Raw genomic sequence first — 17,523 nt, forward strand, 5'->3', positions numbered from 1 at the left:
GTGATGTGCCCACCTCGGCCTCCCAAAGTGCTGGGATTACAGGAGTGAGCCTTTCACACCCAGCCCACTTCACAACTTCTTAAAAGTAAAGCTCTCATCCCACATATACTGAAACACTAGGATTTATCATGTTCCAATCAAGTCAACTTGCTCCAAAATCTCTCAAGAGATTTTTTTAATCACCATACTTAAAAGTAGGGTGATAATCACAAATATTAGGAAACATTTCTCCAAATACAATGGGAAATGCTAGATAATGTGTAACTTACGGATGTAAACATGTGCAAAGCACTTAACCCAAAGCCTAGCTTACAGAACGCACTCAACAAGTAGTAGAATAATGAGAACGATGCCAATTATAATAGCATCTATTGTTATTATTCAGAATATCTCATCCAGTTTGACTTATTTCTGCAGTGAAACAAATCACCAGGCTGTGTCTTTTCAAAGCTCACACTTCCAAACAGAGTAGGTGTTCCTTCTGATCTAAGCATACCTGAATGTTTTTCACCAAGGTTCGTGACTCCTGTAGCCACATCTATACTTAGTGTAAACCTGAACTTGGCAACAGAAAACCCCATGCAGGATATGGCCCCTAGGAGACCATGAGAAGTGACCTTCCAACATTCAAGCTACAGGGGAAATCTTTCTCTTAATTCGAGCTACATTGCACATTATGTCAGTTCTGCAGAATTTATCCAGAAGAACCGATATGAACCGAAATCTCATCTACTGTTTACCTATTTTCTGTCTTTCCTTTTTTTTTTTTTCTTTTTGGAGACAGTGTCACTCTGTCCACCCAGGCTGGAGCGTAATGGCACGATCTCAGCTCACTGCAACCTCCATCTCCAGGGTTCAAGCAATTCTCCTGCCTCAGCCTCTCGAGTAAGTGGGACTACAGGCATGTGCCACCACGCCCGGTTAATTTTTTTTGTATTTTTACTAGAGACAGGTTTTCACCATGTTGGCCAGGCTAGTATCAAACTCCTGACCTCAGGTAATCTGCCCACCTCGGCCTCCCAAAGTGTTGGGATTACAGGTGTGAGCCACTGCACCCATTTTCTAATCTCCAGTGAAACCAACTTCATAAAGGCTGTGGCATTTCTTCCAAGACACTACGATGAAGATGACATCATCAGGAGACTTAGGGAAAGCTACGACTTTTCAAGTAACTAAAGTGGGTGACCCTCACTACTTTGTGGGCTCAATAGCTGTGTCTTCATTTATAAAAATAAAATGGTAGAGACTGTATTGGACAGGAGAGACCTGGAATATGGATCTAAGTAACCAGCTAGCACAAAAATACCCCACTATTTATGTTATGTATACATACATATATACATACGTGCATTGGTGGAGCTAGATAATATCTTTCAGCTCTGTTACTTTACATTGAAGTATCTGACTGATCATACTCATTTGTGCAGGAGATATTTAAAATCTAGTTGTGAAGATGACTGAGTCATGAAACATTAAATAATCTTAATGTATAAGCTCCCAAAAGGAAGTCAATGAGAAAGGGTTAACTTTGCCATGTATGTTCATAGGAAAGTGAGTATGACTTGTATCTAAGTTATGGATCAGCAAACTAGACCCCCCAGCCAAGTCCAGACTACCCCCTATCTTTATAAATAAAGTTTTATTGGAACACAGCCACTCATTCATTTATGTATCATCTGTGGCTGCTTTCACTTTGCAATGGCAGAAATAAGCAGTTATGACAAGACTTTATGGCCCACAAAGCTAAAACTATTTACTATCTGGCCTTGTACAGAAAAAACTTTTTGATCCAAAAAAGGCTGAACAAAGAAGATTTTAAAAGAGATGGGGGGGGAGAGAAAAAGAGAGAGGGCTGAATCTCAGGCAGGGGTACGGACTGAATAGGCAAAGTAGCTTTCCAAACAGAGAGAAAGGATTGGGCAATCGAATGGATTCAGAACTGGTCACTAGAGGACCAGACTGGATGGTTTGAAGTAACGAAGATGAACTGGATTGAGAGTAGGCACAAGCCAGAGAGTTGTGGGCATTCACACCCAGACAACTGGACTTGACTGTGGACAGTCGGCCATTAGTGAGGGTTTCTGAGGAGAGAGTTGACAAAACAGAAGATTTAAAGAAATCCAATGAGGTTGCAGTTTTAGCACAGTTTGAGCTTCCTAGCATGAGACATTGAAGGTCCCCACATCCCAGGAGCCATGGGACTGGACATAATGGTATGAGTAAGGGAGACAGTAGGAAAGGTGGAGCTATGTGACTTGTGATCACTGGGATGGCGATGAGGAAGGAGAAGGAGTAATTAGGGCTTGCTTAGGGCTTCCACCCTGGGTGACCACACAGCTGACCACTTCACATGCAGCCACGTGCATTAGTGCATACGATTTCTTGAGCTGACAGTGAAATGTGTGCCTGAAAGTTTCATACCATGACTCAGGTCCAAAGTAATTCTAAGGAACAGGGCCAGTGATTTCAGTGGCTTATTTCCCACCCTACCTTCTAATCAATGTAATTCATTGACTTATTCACCATATTCTGGAGAGGGCGAAAAGCAGCAGTTTGCTACTTCTCAAAGTTGCTCTGGCAGGTCAATATCCTGTCATCACTAATCCTGCAAACCTTTTCAAAGACTTCAAGTACATAGTTGGCTATTATCATCTTTCAGGGAGTTCCTCTACCTATTCTCCTTTTCATGTTATAGACACCCTAACGGCGAGTCTTAAAATCGCGGTTCTGACAGAGAGATTGGGAAGTTCAAGTCAATTCCTCATTTACCTGCTCGGTCTGCAAAGCAGTTCGAATAGCTTTAGGAACATCTACTTGGCTCCTTTGCAAACAAACAGGCCTGGTGCCCATGACTCCTCTGTTATGAGGCTCTCCTCCTCCCTGGAGACGAGCAGCATTCCTGTTGCAGAGTGCTGGACATTGTTCTGGGAACCCTCTGCCCAGATACTCATTAGTACTGCATTAGTCTATAAACGCCGAAAGAAATGCTTAGTTCACCTCGCTCTTACTTGATGTACTTGAAAGGTCTGGTGAATTTATGGCAGGATAATGTGGAGCCCAGCACCTATTTATGAGTTGATCATTTGTACCGAACCCCCCTCAAAGTGCCAAGGGTTACCATTCAACCACGGCCTGCACTAATGCCACGGGAAGGCCAACAAAGCCAAGTGTACGAAAGTTAAAAGCATTAATAAAAGTGTGACTTATAAATTACTTCATCTTTGTCACCCATTTTGAAATGGGGTGAGAGAGGCCAGGGTAAATTTATTTTTTAAGTGCTTTCTGAGACCCAAACGGGTCAGGCTTGAAATGCTGTAGTATATAAATCATTCTTTGCAGATCTGGGGGATGCTGCAAGCATCACAACATTAACAAATATTGATTTATTTTATCATTTGCAACTGTTTATAGTATGACAGATCCTACTGCACACGCAAAAGCAAATACTTTGAGGCAATGTAGTTAATTAATATCTCTTGTAAGGGGGGAAAAAGGGAAAACCTGGCAATAGGATTTCAGCTTGTATGGAAGTTTGTGGCAAGGTGATTTTCATCAGATTGGCTGACATTAACTCAGCCCCCACCCCAATACCATGGAGATGGATGGATTTCACGCTAAGCAATTTGATGTACAAATGGCATATATGAGAGGTCCTGTCATCAACGCAGCATCATTATACATGATATCAACCAAAGCTCCTGTGAGGCTGAAACCTAGGAAAGGGTCAGCAGGGGTTTCAGACCCCTGGCCACTCTGCTCAACTTTGTATCAAAGCATTAAATAAGCAGACACCCACACTCAATTCAACCACAGGTTCTAAAGGATTTATCTGGGGTCCCTGCTGATGCAATGAAGGACAATTAACAAAAATGCCTTCAAGGTAAGGGAGATGAAAGTCTGCATTGTGCTGGAAAGTGTCCCTGGCTCTGCTGCGCTTTCTCAAACTGCACTTTGGATGTGTTTTCAAACTTAAATTGCTCACAGTTTGGGCCTTCTCCTAACAGGCAACAGAGGGCTGGAGACTGATTAGTCAAAGAAGTTCAGGGAGCCCTACAGTTTCATTGAGATAAACAATGACAACCACACAAACAATGACTTAGAAAATCTGATTTAAACTCCTGACAATGATTAATGCATCTGAACTATGCAAGGAGAACTCAGTGAAATAATCATAGATTGGTACTTTTGTCTGGGAAGCACAATGAAGTTGATCTCTGTGTCCAAGCACATCCTCAAGCCTCCTGTGCAACTGGGTGCTCCTTACGTGGGGCACTGAGGTCAATGGTACACCGTGGAGCTAGTAATTGCTATGCAGTCAATTACCAATGGCATAGCAATGTCTGAGATTCCCTTTTAATAGTGTAGCCTGGGAAAGTATCTCCCAATGGCAACGATAGCTGAGGCCAGAACCAAGATTTCTCAGTCTCAGCACTACTGACACTTTGGGCTGGATAGTTCTTTGTTGAGGAGTGGGGCAAGGGGTCTTGTACACTGTAGGATATTTGGCATCATCTCTAGTTTCTGCCTACTAGATGCTGGTAGCAATCACCACCACCCCAATGTGAGAGTCAAAAGTTACAGCAGGCATTGCTAATTGTTGTTAGGACTAAAATCTCCCTTTGTTGACAACCACTGGGTTAGACAAAATAACTCAAAGATTTTGTATCAGGCCTTTCCCACCAGAAAATCTTCCTTGGCCACAAACTTTAAGTCTTAGGATTCTAAATGTACAACTTTGGGCCACTTTGTGGTCTAATATTGAACAATGTGGCTGTACCTGTTGATCTTAACCACTATGAAGGGAAGGATCAAGAAGAGACTTCCGAGAACTAAAAATTATTGTGTATAAGTCAACAGGAGAGGGAAGAGAAAAATTAGCCACCATAAGGCAAGAGTAGGATGGGGGAAAGCAGTTCCAGTGATGTGGGTCATGCTCCACAGGGATGAGGGCTCATAGGTAAGAAGAAAGCACATTCAGAATGTCACCTAGTATAACTTAGTCCAATGGACTAATGCCAGAGTTGAATAGTAAGATCTTCCCCATATTTAAACCAAAAAAGCCACTGCCCCTCTGGCCAAGTGTGAAGTCTTACTGCATACCGGCTGTGGCAGATCTTATTTTCCAAAGATGGTCACGACAATGTCTCTCATCCCACCAACTCTTCTGCAATGTGACCTTGCCATGCCCTTCATAAGGAGGTGAGGTTTCTTTCTCCATCTCCTTGAATCTGGGTGGCCATGTCTGACAAATGCAACATGGCAGAAGTGACGCAGGGCCAGTACTGGGAGTAAGTCTTTTTTTTTGAGACAGAGTCTTGCTCTGTCGCCCAGGCTGGAGTGCAGTGGCACAATCTCAGCTCACTGCAAGCTCTGCCTCCTGGGTTCATGCCATTCTCCTGCCTCAGCCTCCCGAGTAGCTGGGACTACAGGCGCCCACCACCACACTTGGCTAATTTTTTATGTTTTTTAGTAAAGACAGGGTTTCACCGTGTTAGCCAGGATGGTCTTGATCTCCTGCCTCAGCCTCCCAAAGTGCTGGGATTACAGATGTGAGCCACCACACCCGGCCTGGGAGTAACTCTTAACTGGCTGGTGGCTTCTGCTCCCTCTTTCTTGGAATGTCTGCTCATGGAACATTGCCTCTCAGAACCCAGCTGCCATACCATGAGATTCACAGTTTACAGGGAGAGGCCATGTGGATGATAGGTTCTGGTCAACTGCACATTGAGTTTGCAGCCAGCCCTATGAGTGAGTTATCCCTGTTACCCAGTCCAATCAAACCCACACATGAGTCCAGCTCCAGCCAACATCTGAATGTAACCCCCTGTGAGACTCCAAGCAAGAACCGCCCTGCTGAGCCCCATCAATTCCAGACTCATGAGAGATATATAATAATAGTTATTTTAAGCCACCAAGCTCTTGGGTAGTTTGTTATACAGCAATATGTAACTGGAACACCAACCACACTGATATTTCTATGAAGCTAAAGACAAATGTGTTCTACTACCAAAGTTATTGAGACTTCAATCTCTGGAAATCTCAATAACCTGGTAGTAGAACACATTTGTCTTTAGACTGAGATTGATCAAAGGGAATTAACAGACATCATCATCACCCTATTTACTAGATGCACAATACTTTCCATTTGTTATCTCATGTCATTCTTGCAGTCAACTTAGGAGACAACTATTATTATCCCCCTTGACAAATGATGGGACTGAGGTCTAGAGAGCGTGAGTCTCCTTGCCAAGGCAACACAGTCAGGGGGTGGAGAAACACAGATTCAAAAACAGTCTGACACTAAAGCGTTAATTTTACCACTAATCTGTGGACAGTTTTAGCCCCAAGACAGAAGACATGGAAGCAGAGATAAATCTGTAAAATGTTATACTCAGGGAATTCTATCAGAGAACTCTGTCCTGTGACCTCTGATTTCCAGAGTCATAAAATCAGCTGTTGTTCTTCCCCATGGACCAGCACAGAGGTCTCTCCTGCTTTGAGGAATGTGGTCGGCAGCACACTGAGGAGGTATATGGATTAGGTACCATCTCTGATGGAATTTCTAAAGGGGCACTGGAATCAGAAAACCCCAGTCTTTCAAAGAACTGATCCTTAACCTTCTCAGCATCTCTGCAACTTAGCTATGCCTATGACCTGTTGGGTGGCCTTAAGCAAACCACAAACCCTCTAAGCCTCAGAGTTCTCAGCTGTAAACTGGGAATTACCCCTACCCCTCAGGACTGTTATGACAACTTGAGATAATGTATCAAAGTGCACAGCGTGGTGCTGGCACACAGAGGCACTTGAACCTGGTAGCCTACCTAGGACCTGTGTCTGCCCTGAATAGTCTGAGGTATGAGGAAGCTAGATTGTGAAGTTTACACTTAGCCTGTGTCTAAACATTTGCCTGGAAATTTGCAGCCATGCTGAACACATGCATCCCTCCTGCAGCCTACAGCAGACATATGATAGAAAGGAGACGGTCGTCAGGGTGCTGGGCTCAGTGGGAAGTCAAAGATGCTGTAGTGTGAAATGCACTTACATGGGCTGACCTTTGTAAAGGCACCACTCACATGCTCCTGAGATTCCCATATAGCCTAACAGCATGTTAGAACGGTCACAACCCAAAGACTCCATGTCTGATCATTTCTGATGCTTGGCAGCCCATTCCAAAGGCATCTCCCCCTCTACATTTGCCTTTGAGCACAGTTGAGGCACTGCCTTCCCAAAGGACCCCATTCCTGTCCCTTCCTGCAATCTTCAGTCACATAGAAAGACATCTCCCCTGGCATCATCAGTGTCCAGTACAATAAAAAGTCACCAGAATCGTCAAGCTGGATCCAATGCCAGCCCAGGTGAGATTTTTCCTTCCTGTGTGTGGCCTTCTGGCATCTGTTTTCTCTTTGAAGCTCTTTTCTCTTCCTGGGATGAGAACCCAGAATTGGGGCTCTGATCTCCATTCACCAAATCATCCCAGGCTGAAGCTTTCTTCTCTAGATGCCCAGGAAAGGCACGATAGTTCAGTCATATTAGGTTCCTGCCAGCTAAGAAGCCTAAGTTTCAAAGAAAAAGGCACCATTCATCCCAAATTCACCATGGTCTGACTTTTGTAAAGGTCCTAAAATACAATTAGTTACACAATTGCATCTTAACTTAGAATTTTCCACTTGGTGGCTTTTCTCAGGTTGACTGTCATTGAAAAGCTGCTTTTGCTTTTTTTTTTTAAATTTAAACCTAAAGAACACTATAATGCTTTACTCTTAGTTGCTAATGTCCAGATGAGTTCTGCTCGGCATAGATACTGAAGGTTCCCCAGTAGAAAGGAATCGTTCTCATCATTTACTGTAAAGTGTGTGCCTGGCAGTTGTAACTGAGTTCAATTTGAAAAGAAATCAAATGTTTGGATGAAAGTGACACAATGATGTGGCATGAGGCATAATCCATACATTTCTAACAGATGCCAGAAGAAGCCCCAGCTGGAAGTCATGTCACTTTTAGATACTGAGAGCAACAAGTCATTAATTTGTATTCCTTAAATAACTTATTAAGGCTACATGTGCAAGCTCTTATACAAAACCCAGAGCCAGGGATAAGTAAATGAGTGAATGAGTTCAATCATCCAAGCCTTAGTTCATGCATTTATTCATTCAGCAAATTTTCAGTGAGCAACTTACCATACGTCATGCACTGGGCTATATGCTAAGGATGTAACAGTAAGCACGTGGAAGCCGAATCCCTGCCCTTATGGAGCTTAGAGACCAGTGAAAGGGACAGACATTAATGATCTGATCATAAAAGCAAATAGGAAACTGTATTTGAGCCAAGGTCTACGACGTATATGAAGCTTTCAGTATTTATAATGAGGAAATCTTACCAAATCCATGAGGTCAGGGAAAGCTTAAGTAGGCTAAGACCTTACACCAAAGTAGGAGTTAATTAGGCAGAGAGAAATAGGGGGAAGGAGTATGGCAGGCAGAGGAACTAAAAGATGGCCAGAGAGGCCACAGTGGAGGGAAAAAAGAAAAGCCTGATTAGAGAGACAAGATAGAGACACAATGCAATCCCTGGGCCCATCCATCCCTCAAGACAGCATCAATGACAGATGAAAGGCAACACAGCCAGACAGAATAAAGCAAGTGCTAAACAAAGGTTCAAACCAATGCAGGAACAGTGGCTGGAACCCCAAGAAAGGCTGCAAGAAGGAGGTCGACTCTGAACAGAATCTAGAATAGGGGTTGACCAACTATGGCCCCCAGGCCAAATTGTGCCACTGCCTGTTTTTGTAAATAAAGCTGTACTGAAATACAGCCACGCCCATTCATTTACGCATTGTCTAGGGCTGCTTTGGCGCTACAATGGCAGAATGGAGAGTTGCTACGGAGACCATCAGACCCGCAAAACTGAAAATATTCAGTATCTGGCCCTTTACACAAAAGTTTGCTGACTCCTAGTCTAAAAGGATAAGCAGGATTTGAAATCAATGGGACAAGAGAAAAAGTATGCCAGCGCCTCCTGCCTCTCACACCTGCAAGAAACAAACTTGAGCATGTCTTTCAGCGGACGCTCTGATGGCAAGAGTCATAGGAGGGAAAAGGTGCATGATAAACATTTTTAATGACATCTCAGAAATCACACTAAGCCAGATTTGTGCATTTGGGCATATTTTGCTTCACGGAATAACTACACTCCAGGAAAGTTGATGGAACCTTGACATCTCAAGTTGATTCCCTTAAGGAATTATACAGGGGTGTGACACAGAAAATAAACGAAAACGATGTGCTCAAATCAGTTAGAAAAACACTAAATAAACAAAGTTGAACCGGCTTCCCTACTGCAGGACTTACCAGAGCCTTTAATATCCTACTGTGCTTTGGAAATCTCCAGGAGAAAAAGTTATGTTGCGTGTCTCAAATTTATTTGATCACAGACTCCTTCTTTTCCAAAGTCATCTTATCAGGACAGAGTTGCTTGAAGCATAGCGTGAGAAACACTGGTCTGAACTTTTTATAAAGCAAATGCCCTTTTCTTAATAATCTCCAAAACAATGTCAGAAATGTGTTTTCTTTCCAAATAATTTCTTTTTTTTTTTTTTTAATGTTTTTTTTTTTTTATTATACTTTAAGTTTTAGGGTACATGTGCACATTGTGCAGGTTAGTTACATATGTATACATGTGCCATGCTGGTGCGCTGCACCCACTAACGTGTCATCTAGCATTAGGTATATCTCCCAATGCTATCCCTCCCCCCTCCCCCGACCCCACCACAGTCCCCAGAGTGTGATATTCCCCTTCCTGTGTCCATGTGATCTCATTGTTCAATTCCCACCTATGCGTGAGAATATGCGGTGTTTGGTTTTTTGTTCTTGCGATAGTTTACTGAGAATGATGGTTTCCAATTTCATCCATGTCCCTACAAAGGACATGAACTCATCATTTTTTATGGCTGCATAGTATTCCATAGTGTATATGTGCCACATTTTCTTAATCCAGTCTATCATTGTTGGACATTTGGGTTGGTTCCAAGTCTTTGCTATTGTGAATAATGCCGCAATAAACATACGTGTGCATGTGTCTTTATAGCAGCATGATTTATAGTCCTTTGGGTATATACCCAGTAATGGGATGGCTGGGTCAAATGGTATTTCTAGTTCTAGATCCCTGAGGAATCGCCACACTGACTTCCACAATGGTTGAACTAGTTGACAGTCCCACCAACAGTGTAAAAGTGTTCCTATTTCTCCACATCCTCTCCAGCACCTGTTGTTTCCTGACTTTTTAATGATTGCCATTCTAACTGGTGTGAGATGATATCTCATAGTGGTTTTGATTTGCATTTCTCTGATGGCCAGTGATGATGAGCATTTTTTCATGTGTTTTTTGGCTGCATAAATGTCTTCTTTTGAGAAGTGTCTGTTCATGTCCTTCGCCCACTTTTTGATGGGGTTGTTTGTTTTTTTCTTGTAAATTTGTTTGAGTTCATTGTAGATTCTGGATATTAGCCCTTTGTCAGATGAGTAGGTTGCGAAAATTTTCTCCCATGCTGTAGGTTGCCTGTTCACTCTGATGGTAGTTTCTTTTGCTGTGCAGAAGCTCTTTAGTTTAATTAGATCCCATTTGTCAATTTTGGCTTTTGTTGCCATTGCTTTTGGTGTTTTGGACATGAAGTCCTTGCCCACGCCTATGTCCTGAATGGTAATGCCTGGTTTTCTTCTAGGGTTTTTATGGTTTTAGGTCTAACGTTTAAATCTTTAATCCATCTTGAATTGATTTTTGTATAAGGTGTAAGGAAGGGATCCAGTTTCAGCTTTCTACATATGGCTAGCCAGTTTTCCCAGCACCATTTATTAAATAGGGAATCCTTTCCCCATTGCTTGTTTTTCTCAGGTTTGTCAAAGATCAGATAGTTGTAGATATGCGGCATTATTTCTGAGGGCTCTGTTCTGTTCCATTGATCTATATCTCTGTTTTGGTACCAGTACCATGCTGTTTTGGTTACTGTAGCCTTGTAGTATAGTTTGAAGTCAGGTAGTGTGATGCCTCCAGCTTTGTTCTTTTGGCTTAGGATTGACTGGGCGATGCGGGCTCTTTTTTGGTTCCATATGAACTTTAAAGTAGTTTTTTCCAATTCTGTGAAGAAAGTCATTGGTAGCTTGATGGGGATGGCATTGAATCTGTAAATTACCTTGGGCAGTATGGCCATTTTCACGATATTGATTCTTCCTACCCATGAGCATGGAATGTTCTTCCATTTGTTTGTGTCCTCTTTTATTTCCTTGAGCAGTGGTTTGTAGTTCTCCTTGAAGAGGTCCTTCACATCTCTTGTAAGTTGGATTCCTAGGTATTTTATTCTCTTTGAAGCAATTGTGAATGGGAGTTCACTCATGATTTGGCTCTCTGTTTGTCTGTTTTTGGTGTATAAGAATGCTTGTGATTTTTGTACATTGATTTTGTATCCTGAGACTTTGCTGAAGTTGCTTATCAGCTTAAGGAGATTTTGGGCTGAGACAATGGGGTTTTCTAGATAAACAATCATGTCGTCTGCAAACAGGGACAATTTGACTTCCTCTTTTCCTAATTGAATACCCTTTATTTCCTTCTCCTGCCTGATTGCCCTGGCCAGAACTTCCAACACTATGTTGAATAGGAGCGGTGAGAGAGGGCATCCCTGTCTTGTGCCAGTTTTCAAAGGGAATGCTTCCAGTTTTTGCCCATTCAGTATGATATTGGCTGTGGGTTTGTCATAGATAGCTCTTATTATTTTGAAATACGTCCCATCAATACCTAATTTATTGAGAGTTTTTAGCATGAAGGGTTGTTGAATTTTGTCAAAGGCTTTTTCTGCATCTATTGAGATAATCATGTGGTTTTTGTCTTTGGCTCTGTTTATATGCTGGATTACATTTATTGATTTGCATATATTGAACCAGCCTTGCATCCCAGGGATGAAGCCCACTTGATCATGGTGGATAAGCTTTTTGATGTGCTGCTGGATTCGGTTTGCCAGTATTTTATTGAGGATTTTTGCATCAATGTTCATCAAGGATATTGGTCTAAAATTCTCTTTTTTGGTTGTGTCTCTGCCCGGCTTTGGTATCAGAATGATGCTGGCCTCATAAAATGAGTTAGGGAGGATTCCCTCTTTTTCTATTGATTGGAATAGTTTCAGAAGGAATGGTACCAGTTCCTCCTTGTACCTCTGGTAGAATTCGGCTGTGAATCCATCTGGTCCTGGACTCTTTTTGGTTGGTAAACTATTGATTATTGCCACAATTTCAGAGCCTGTTATTGGTCTATTCAGAGATTCAACTTCTTCCTGGTTTAGTCTTGGGAGAGTGTATGTGTCGAGGAATGTATCCATTTCTTCTAGATTTTCTAGTTTATTTGCATAGAGGTGTTTGTAGTATTCTCTGATGGTAGTTTGTATTTCTGTGGGATTGGTGGTGATATCCCCTTTATCATTTTTTATTGTGTCTATTTGATTCTTCTCTCTTTTTTTCTTTATTAGTCTTGCTAGCGGTCTATCAATTTTGTTGATCCTTTCAAAAAACCAGCTCCTGGATTCATTGATTTTTTGAAGGGTTTTTTGTGTCTCTATTTCCTTCAGTTCTGCTCTGATTTTAGTTATTTCTTGCCTTCTGCTAGCTTTTGAATGTGTTTGCTCTTGCTTTTCTAGTTCTTTTAATTGAGATGTTAGGGTGTCAATTTTGGATCTTTCCTGCTTTCTCTTGTAGGCATTTAGTGCTATAAATTTCCCTCTACACACTGCTTTGAATGCGTCCCAGAGATTCTGGTATGTGGTGTCTTTGTTCTCGTTGGTTTCAAAGAACATCTTTATTTCTGCCTTCATTTCGTTATGTACCCAGTAGTCATTCAGGAGCAGGTTGTTCAGTTTCCATGTAGTTGAGCGGCTTTGAGTGAGATTCTTAATCCTGAGTTCTAGTTTGATTGCACTGTGGTCTGAGAGATAGTTTGTTATAATTTCTGTTCTTTTACATTTGCGGAGGAGAGTTTTACTTCCAACTATGTGGTCAATTTTGGAATAGGTGTGGTGTGGTGCTGAAAAAAATGTATATTCTGTTGATTTGGGGTGGAGAGTTCTGTAGATGTCTATTAGGTCCGCTTGGTGCAGAGCTGAGTTCAATTCCTGGGTATCCTTGTTGACTTTCTGTCTCGTTGATCTGTCTAATGTTGACAGTGGGGTGTTAAAGTCTCCCATTATTAATGTGTGGGAGTCTAAGTCTCTTTGTAGGTCACTCAGGACTTGCTTTATGAATCTGGGTGCTCCTGTATTGGGTGCATAAATATTTAGGATAGTTAGCTCCTCTTGTTGAATCGATCCCTTTACCATTATGTAATGGCCTTCTTTGTCTCTTTTGATCTTTGTTGGTTTAAAGTCTGTTTTATCAGAGACTAGGATTGCAACCCCTGCCTTTTTTTGTTTTCCATTTGCTTGGTAGATCTTCCTCCATCCTTTTATTTTGAGCCTATGTGTGTCTCTGCACGTGAGATGGGTTTCCTGAATACAGCACACTGATGGGTCTTGACTCTTTATCCAACTTGCCAGTCTGTGTCTTTTAATTGCAGAATTTAGTCCATTTATATTTAAAGTTAATATTGTTATGTGTGAATTTGATCCTGTCATTATGATGTTAGCTGGTGATTTTGCTCATTAGTTGATGCAGTTTCTTCCTAGTCTCAATGGTCTTTACATTTTGGCATGATTTTGCAGCGGCTGGTACCGGTTGTCCCTTTCCATGTTTAGCGCTTCCTTCAGGAGCTCTTTTAGGGCAGGCCTGGTGGTGACAAAATCTCTCAGCATTTGCTTGTCTATAAAGTATTTTATTTCTCCTTCACTTATGAAGCTTAGTTTGGCTGGATATGAAATTCTGGGTTGAAAATTCTTTTCTTTAAGAATGTTGAATATTGGCCCTCACTCTCTTCTGGCTTGTAGGGTTTCTGCCGAGAGATCCGCTGTTAGTCTGATGGGCTTTCCTTTGAGGGTAACCCGACCTTTCTCTCTGGCTGCCCTTAACATTTTTTCCTTCATTTCAACTTTGGTGAATCTGACAATTATGTGTCTTGGAGTTGCTCTTCTCGAGGAGTATCTTTGTGGCGTTCTGTGTATTTCCTGAATCTGAACGTTGGCCTGCCTTGCTAGATTGGGGAAGTTCTCCTGGATAATATCCTGCAGAGTGTTTTCCAACTTGGTTCCATTCTCCACATCACTTTCAGGTACACCAATCAGACGTAGATTTGGTCTTTTCACATAGTCCCATATTTCTTGGAGGCTTTGCTCATTTCTTTTTATTCTTTTTTCTCTAAACTTCCCTTCTCGCTTCATTTCATTCATTTCAGCTTCCATTGCTGATACCCTTTCTTCCAGTTGATCGCATCGGCTCCTGAGGCTTCTGCATTCTTCACGTAGTTCTCGAGCCTTGGTTTTCAGCTCCATCAGCTCCTTTAAGCACTTCTCTGTATTAGTTATTCTAGTTATACATTCTTCTAAATTTTTTTCAAAGTTTTCAACTTCTTTGCCTTTGGTTTGAATGTCCTCCCGTAGCTCAGAGTAATTTGATCGTCTGAAGCCTTCTTCTCTCAGCTCGTCAAAATCATTCTCCATCCAGCTTTGTTCCGTTGCTGGTGAGGAACTGCGTTCCTTTGGAGGAGGAGAGGCGCTCTGCGTTTTAGAGTTTCCAGTTTTTCTGTTCTGTTTTTTCCCCATCTTTGTGGTTTTATCTACTTTTGGTCTTTGATGATGGTGATGTACAGATGGGTTTTCGGCGTAGATGTCCTTTCTGGTTGTTAGTTTTCCTTCTAACAGACAGGACCCTCAGCTGCAGGTCTGTTGGAATACCCTGCCGTGTGAGGTGTCAGTGTGCCCCTGCTGGGGGGTGCCTCCCAGTTAGGCTGCTCGGGGGTCAGGGGTCAGGGACCCACTTGAGGAGGCAGTCTGCCCGTTCTCAGATCTCCAGCTGCGTGCTGGGAGAACCACTGCTCTCTTCAAAGCTGTCAGACAGGGACACTTAAGTCTGCAGAGGTTACTGCTGTCTTTTTGTTTGTCTGTGCCCTGCCCCCAGAGGTGGAGCCTACAGAGGCAGGCAGGCCTCCTTGAGCTGTGGTGGGCTCCACCCAGTTTGAGCTTCCCGGCTGCTTTGTTTACCTAAGCAAGCCTGGGCAATGGCGGGCGCCCCTCCCCCAGCCTCGTTGCCGCCTTGCAGTTTGATCTCAGACTGCTGTGCTAGCAATCAGCGAGATTCCGTGGGTGTAGGACCCTCTGAGCCAGGTGTGGGATATAGTCTCGTGGTGCGCCGTTTTTTAAGCCGGTCTGAAAAGCGCAATATTCGGGTGGGAGTGACCCGATTTTCCAGGTGCGTCCGTCACCCCTTTCTTTGACTCGGAAAGGGAACTCCCTGACCCCTTGCGCTTCCCAGGTGAGGCAATGCCTCGCCCTGCTTCGGCTCGCGCACGGTGCGCACACACACTGGCCTGCGCCCACTGTCTGGCACTCCCTAGTGAGATGAACCCGGTACCTCAGATGGAAATGCAGAAATCACCCGTCTTCTGCGTCGCTCACGCTGGGAGCTGTAGACCGGAGCTGTTCCTATTCGGCCATCTTGGCTCCTCCCCCTCCAAATAATTTCAAAACTGTCAGCAGAAGCAAGGGTTAACTGTGGCAAGCTAGAAACCTGTGGGTACATGGGACATGAAACCCCACCCCTCTTAACCTCTGATTCTTCCCACACAAACCCATTTGTGTGGATTTTGTGGAGGATTTTATTCCCATTTCCTGTGAAAATTCCCATATCTGAGATGCCCTGGCTCAGTATTTAGAGCTACTGGCATTTGCCTCTCTTCTCTTCTACAAATTGTCAACATCAACAAATTGCACTTGGATCAAAAATTCTAAATTCAAACCAGCAGTATATGAAAAATAAATGAGTATTTTTAACTTCTTGAATGAACTGTCTTATTGCATTCCAAATCCTGGATGCCAAATTTCTTTTAAATATTGCCAAAGATGCCGTTCCTCTGGTCATTCAATATGCAAATGAACAGAAGCCAGCAAGTTCAAAATCTCGAAGAAATCAGTCACAGACAAGACAGCAAACTGTGCTCACTGTTCCCAAGTCCACCACATCAATTGCACAGAAGAAATGGATTTAGGTACCTGGCAGACCAGTTCACTAGCTCAAAGACTGACATTATCCTTAAGAATGCAGATGTTACATATTTCTCTTCCCCTTTAGACACATTCAAAAGACCAAAGAGAAGGCCAATAACCATTTTCAAAAGCAACCATAAAAATCTACAAACATTCTAGAGCTTCTCCAGGCAGGCAACTCCCAGGGTATTCACAGCCCTGGAGAAATGGGCCAAATTTTCCATTCTCAAGGCTAAAGGGATTTGAAAAGGGCAACAGAAAAATCACATAATTGATGGCAAGCATCCCTGAAAGCAAAGTCCTCCTATTTCAGAGTCTGGTACTAACGTCCGGAAGCAGCAGGCCATGTGTCCACTCCGAGGTTGTCACACTTTGGCAGGGAATCCCTGCAGGGTCAGAGCAGCCCTGGGGGCTCTGATGAGAGGTGCTAAATAAGTTAGTGCTATCGTTTATTAGAGCATAAGAAACAGATGGGAATGGGCAAAATGACAGCTGGAAGAGTGAGGTTTCGGGAAGATGAGTATCTACAGCACTCAGAAATTCATCTACACGACGCCTATTAACATTCACGGGAATGGCTTTCTTAGCACCAGCTACAGATTCTGCAGCCTCTCACAGATTCATTCCTTGGCTTTTTCTCCATCACACAGACAGTTAATCTCATATCTAATTATAAAATAATTGGCAATCCCACAACTTTCTCTTGTAGAACTCTGCCACCAAGAATGATTATTTTCAACTCATTGGTCCTTGCATCCACAGGAGACTGGGAAGACACAAGAAGGAACTAAGAGGAGATAGGATGGGCAAGGGAAGGGGCGGAGGAAGTTCACCTATTGTGGCCGTCCTTCAGGGACAGGGACAGGCAACTGGACATCCATTTGTCCCAATCTGGCCAGGGCTGGCCCTCACCTGACTAGAGTTTCATCTGGCTTCTTTGTTTTTTTGTTTTTGAAATGGAGTCTCTCTCTGTCACCCAGGCTGGAGTGCAGTGGCATGATCTTGGCTCACTGCAACCTCTGCCGCCCGGGTTCCAGGGATTCTCTTGCCTCAGCCTCCCGAGTAGCTGGGATTATAGGCACATGCCACCACACCCGGCTAATTTTTGTGTTTTTAGTAGAGATGGGGTTTCACCATGTTGGTCAGGCTGGTCTTGAACTCCTGACCTTGCAGTCTGCCTGCCTCAGCCTCCCAAAGTGCTGGGATTATAGGCAAAGCCACTGTGCCCGACCTCATATGCTTTTTTTTTTTTCTTTTGCATTCTTGAAGCCATTGGTTTTTGACCCAGGTGGCAGCAATCCACCAGGGCTCTGCTATATGCTGAGGTTTCCCAGCCTCCTCACACATCCTGAAAAGTTCCA

The 17,523-nt window shown here is 43.1% G+C and overlaps 1 protein-coding gene and 1 long non-coding RNA gene across 2 annotated transcripts in view; one reads left to right on the forward strand and one right to left on the reverse strand.

Annotated features, from left to right (window-relative positions):
* The window catches only part of ZFHX3 (zinc finger homeobox 3), a 1,109,046-nt gene that overhangs the window by 1,031,919 nt on the left and 59,604 nt on the right, over nt 1-17,523 (reverse strand). The gene's annotated exons all lie outside the window — the stretch shown is intronic.
* LOC105371342 (uncharacterized) lies at nt 843-1,208 on the forward strand. Its single transcript, XR_933731.2, has 2 exons — nt 843-885; nt 1,074-1,208. It is a non-coding gene; the product is annotated as an uncharacterized LOC105371342 (long non-coding RNA).

This window comes from Homo sapiens, chromosome 16 (assembly GCF_000001405.40).
Source record: "Homo sapiens chromosome 16, GRCh38.p14 Primary Assembly".
In the NCBI taxonomy this organism is placed as follows: Eukaryota; Metazoa; Chordata; class Mammalia; order Primates; family Hominidae; genus Homo; species Homo sapiens.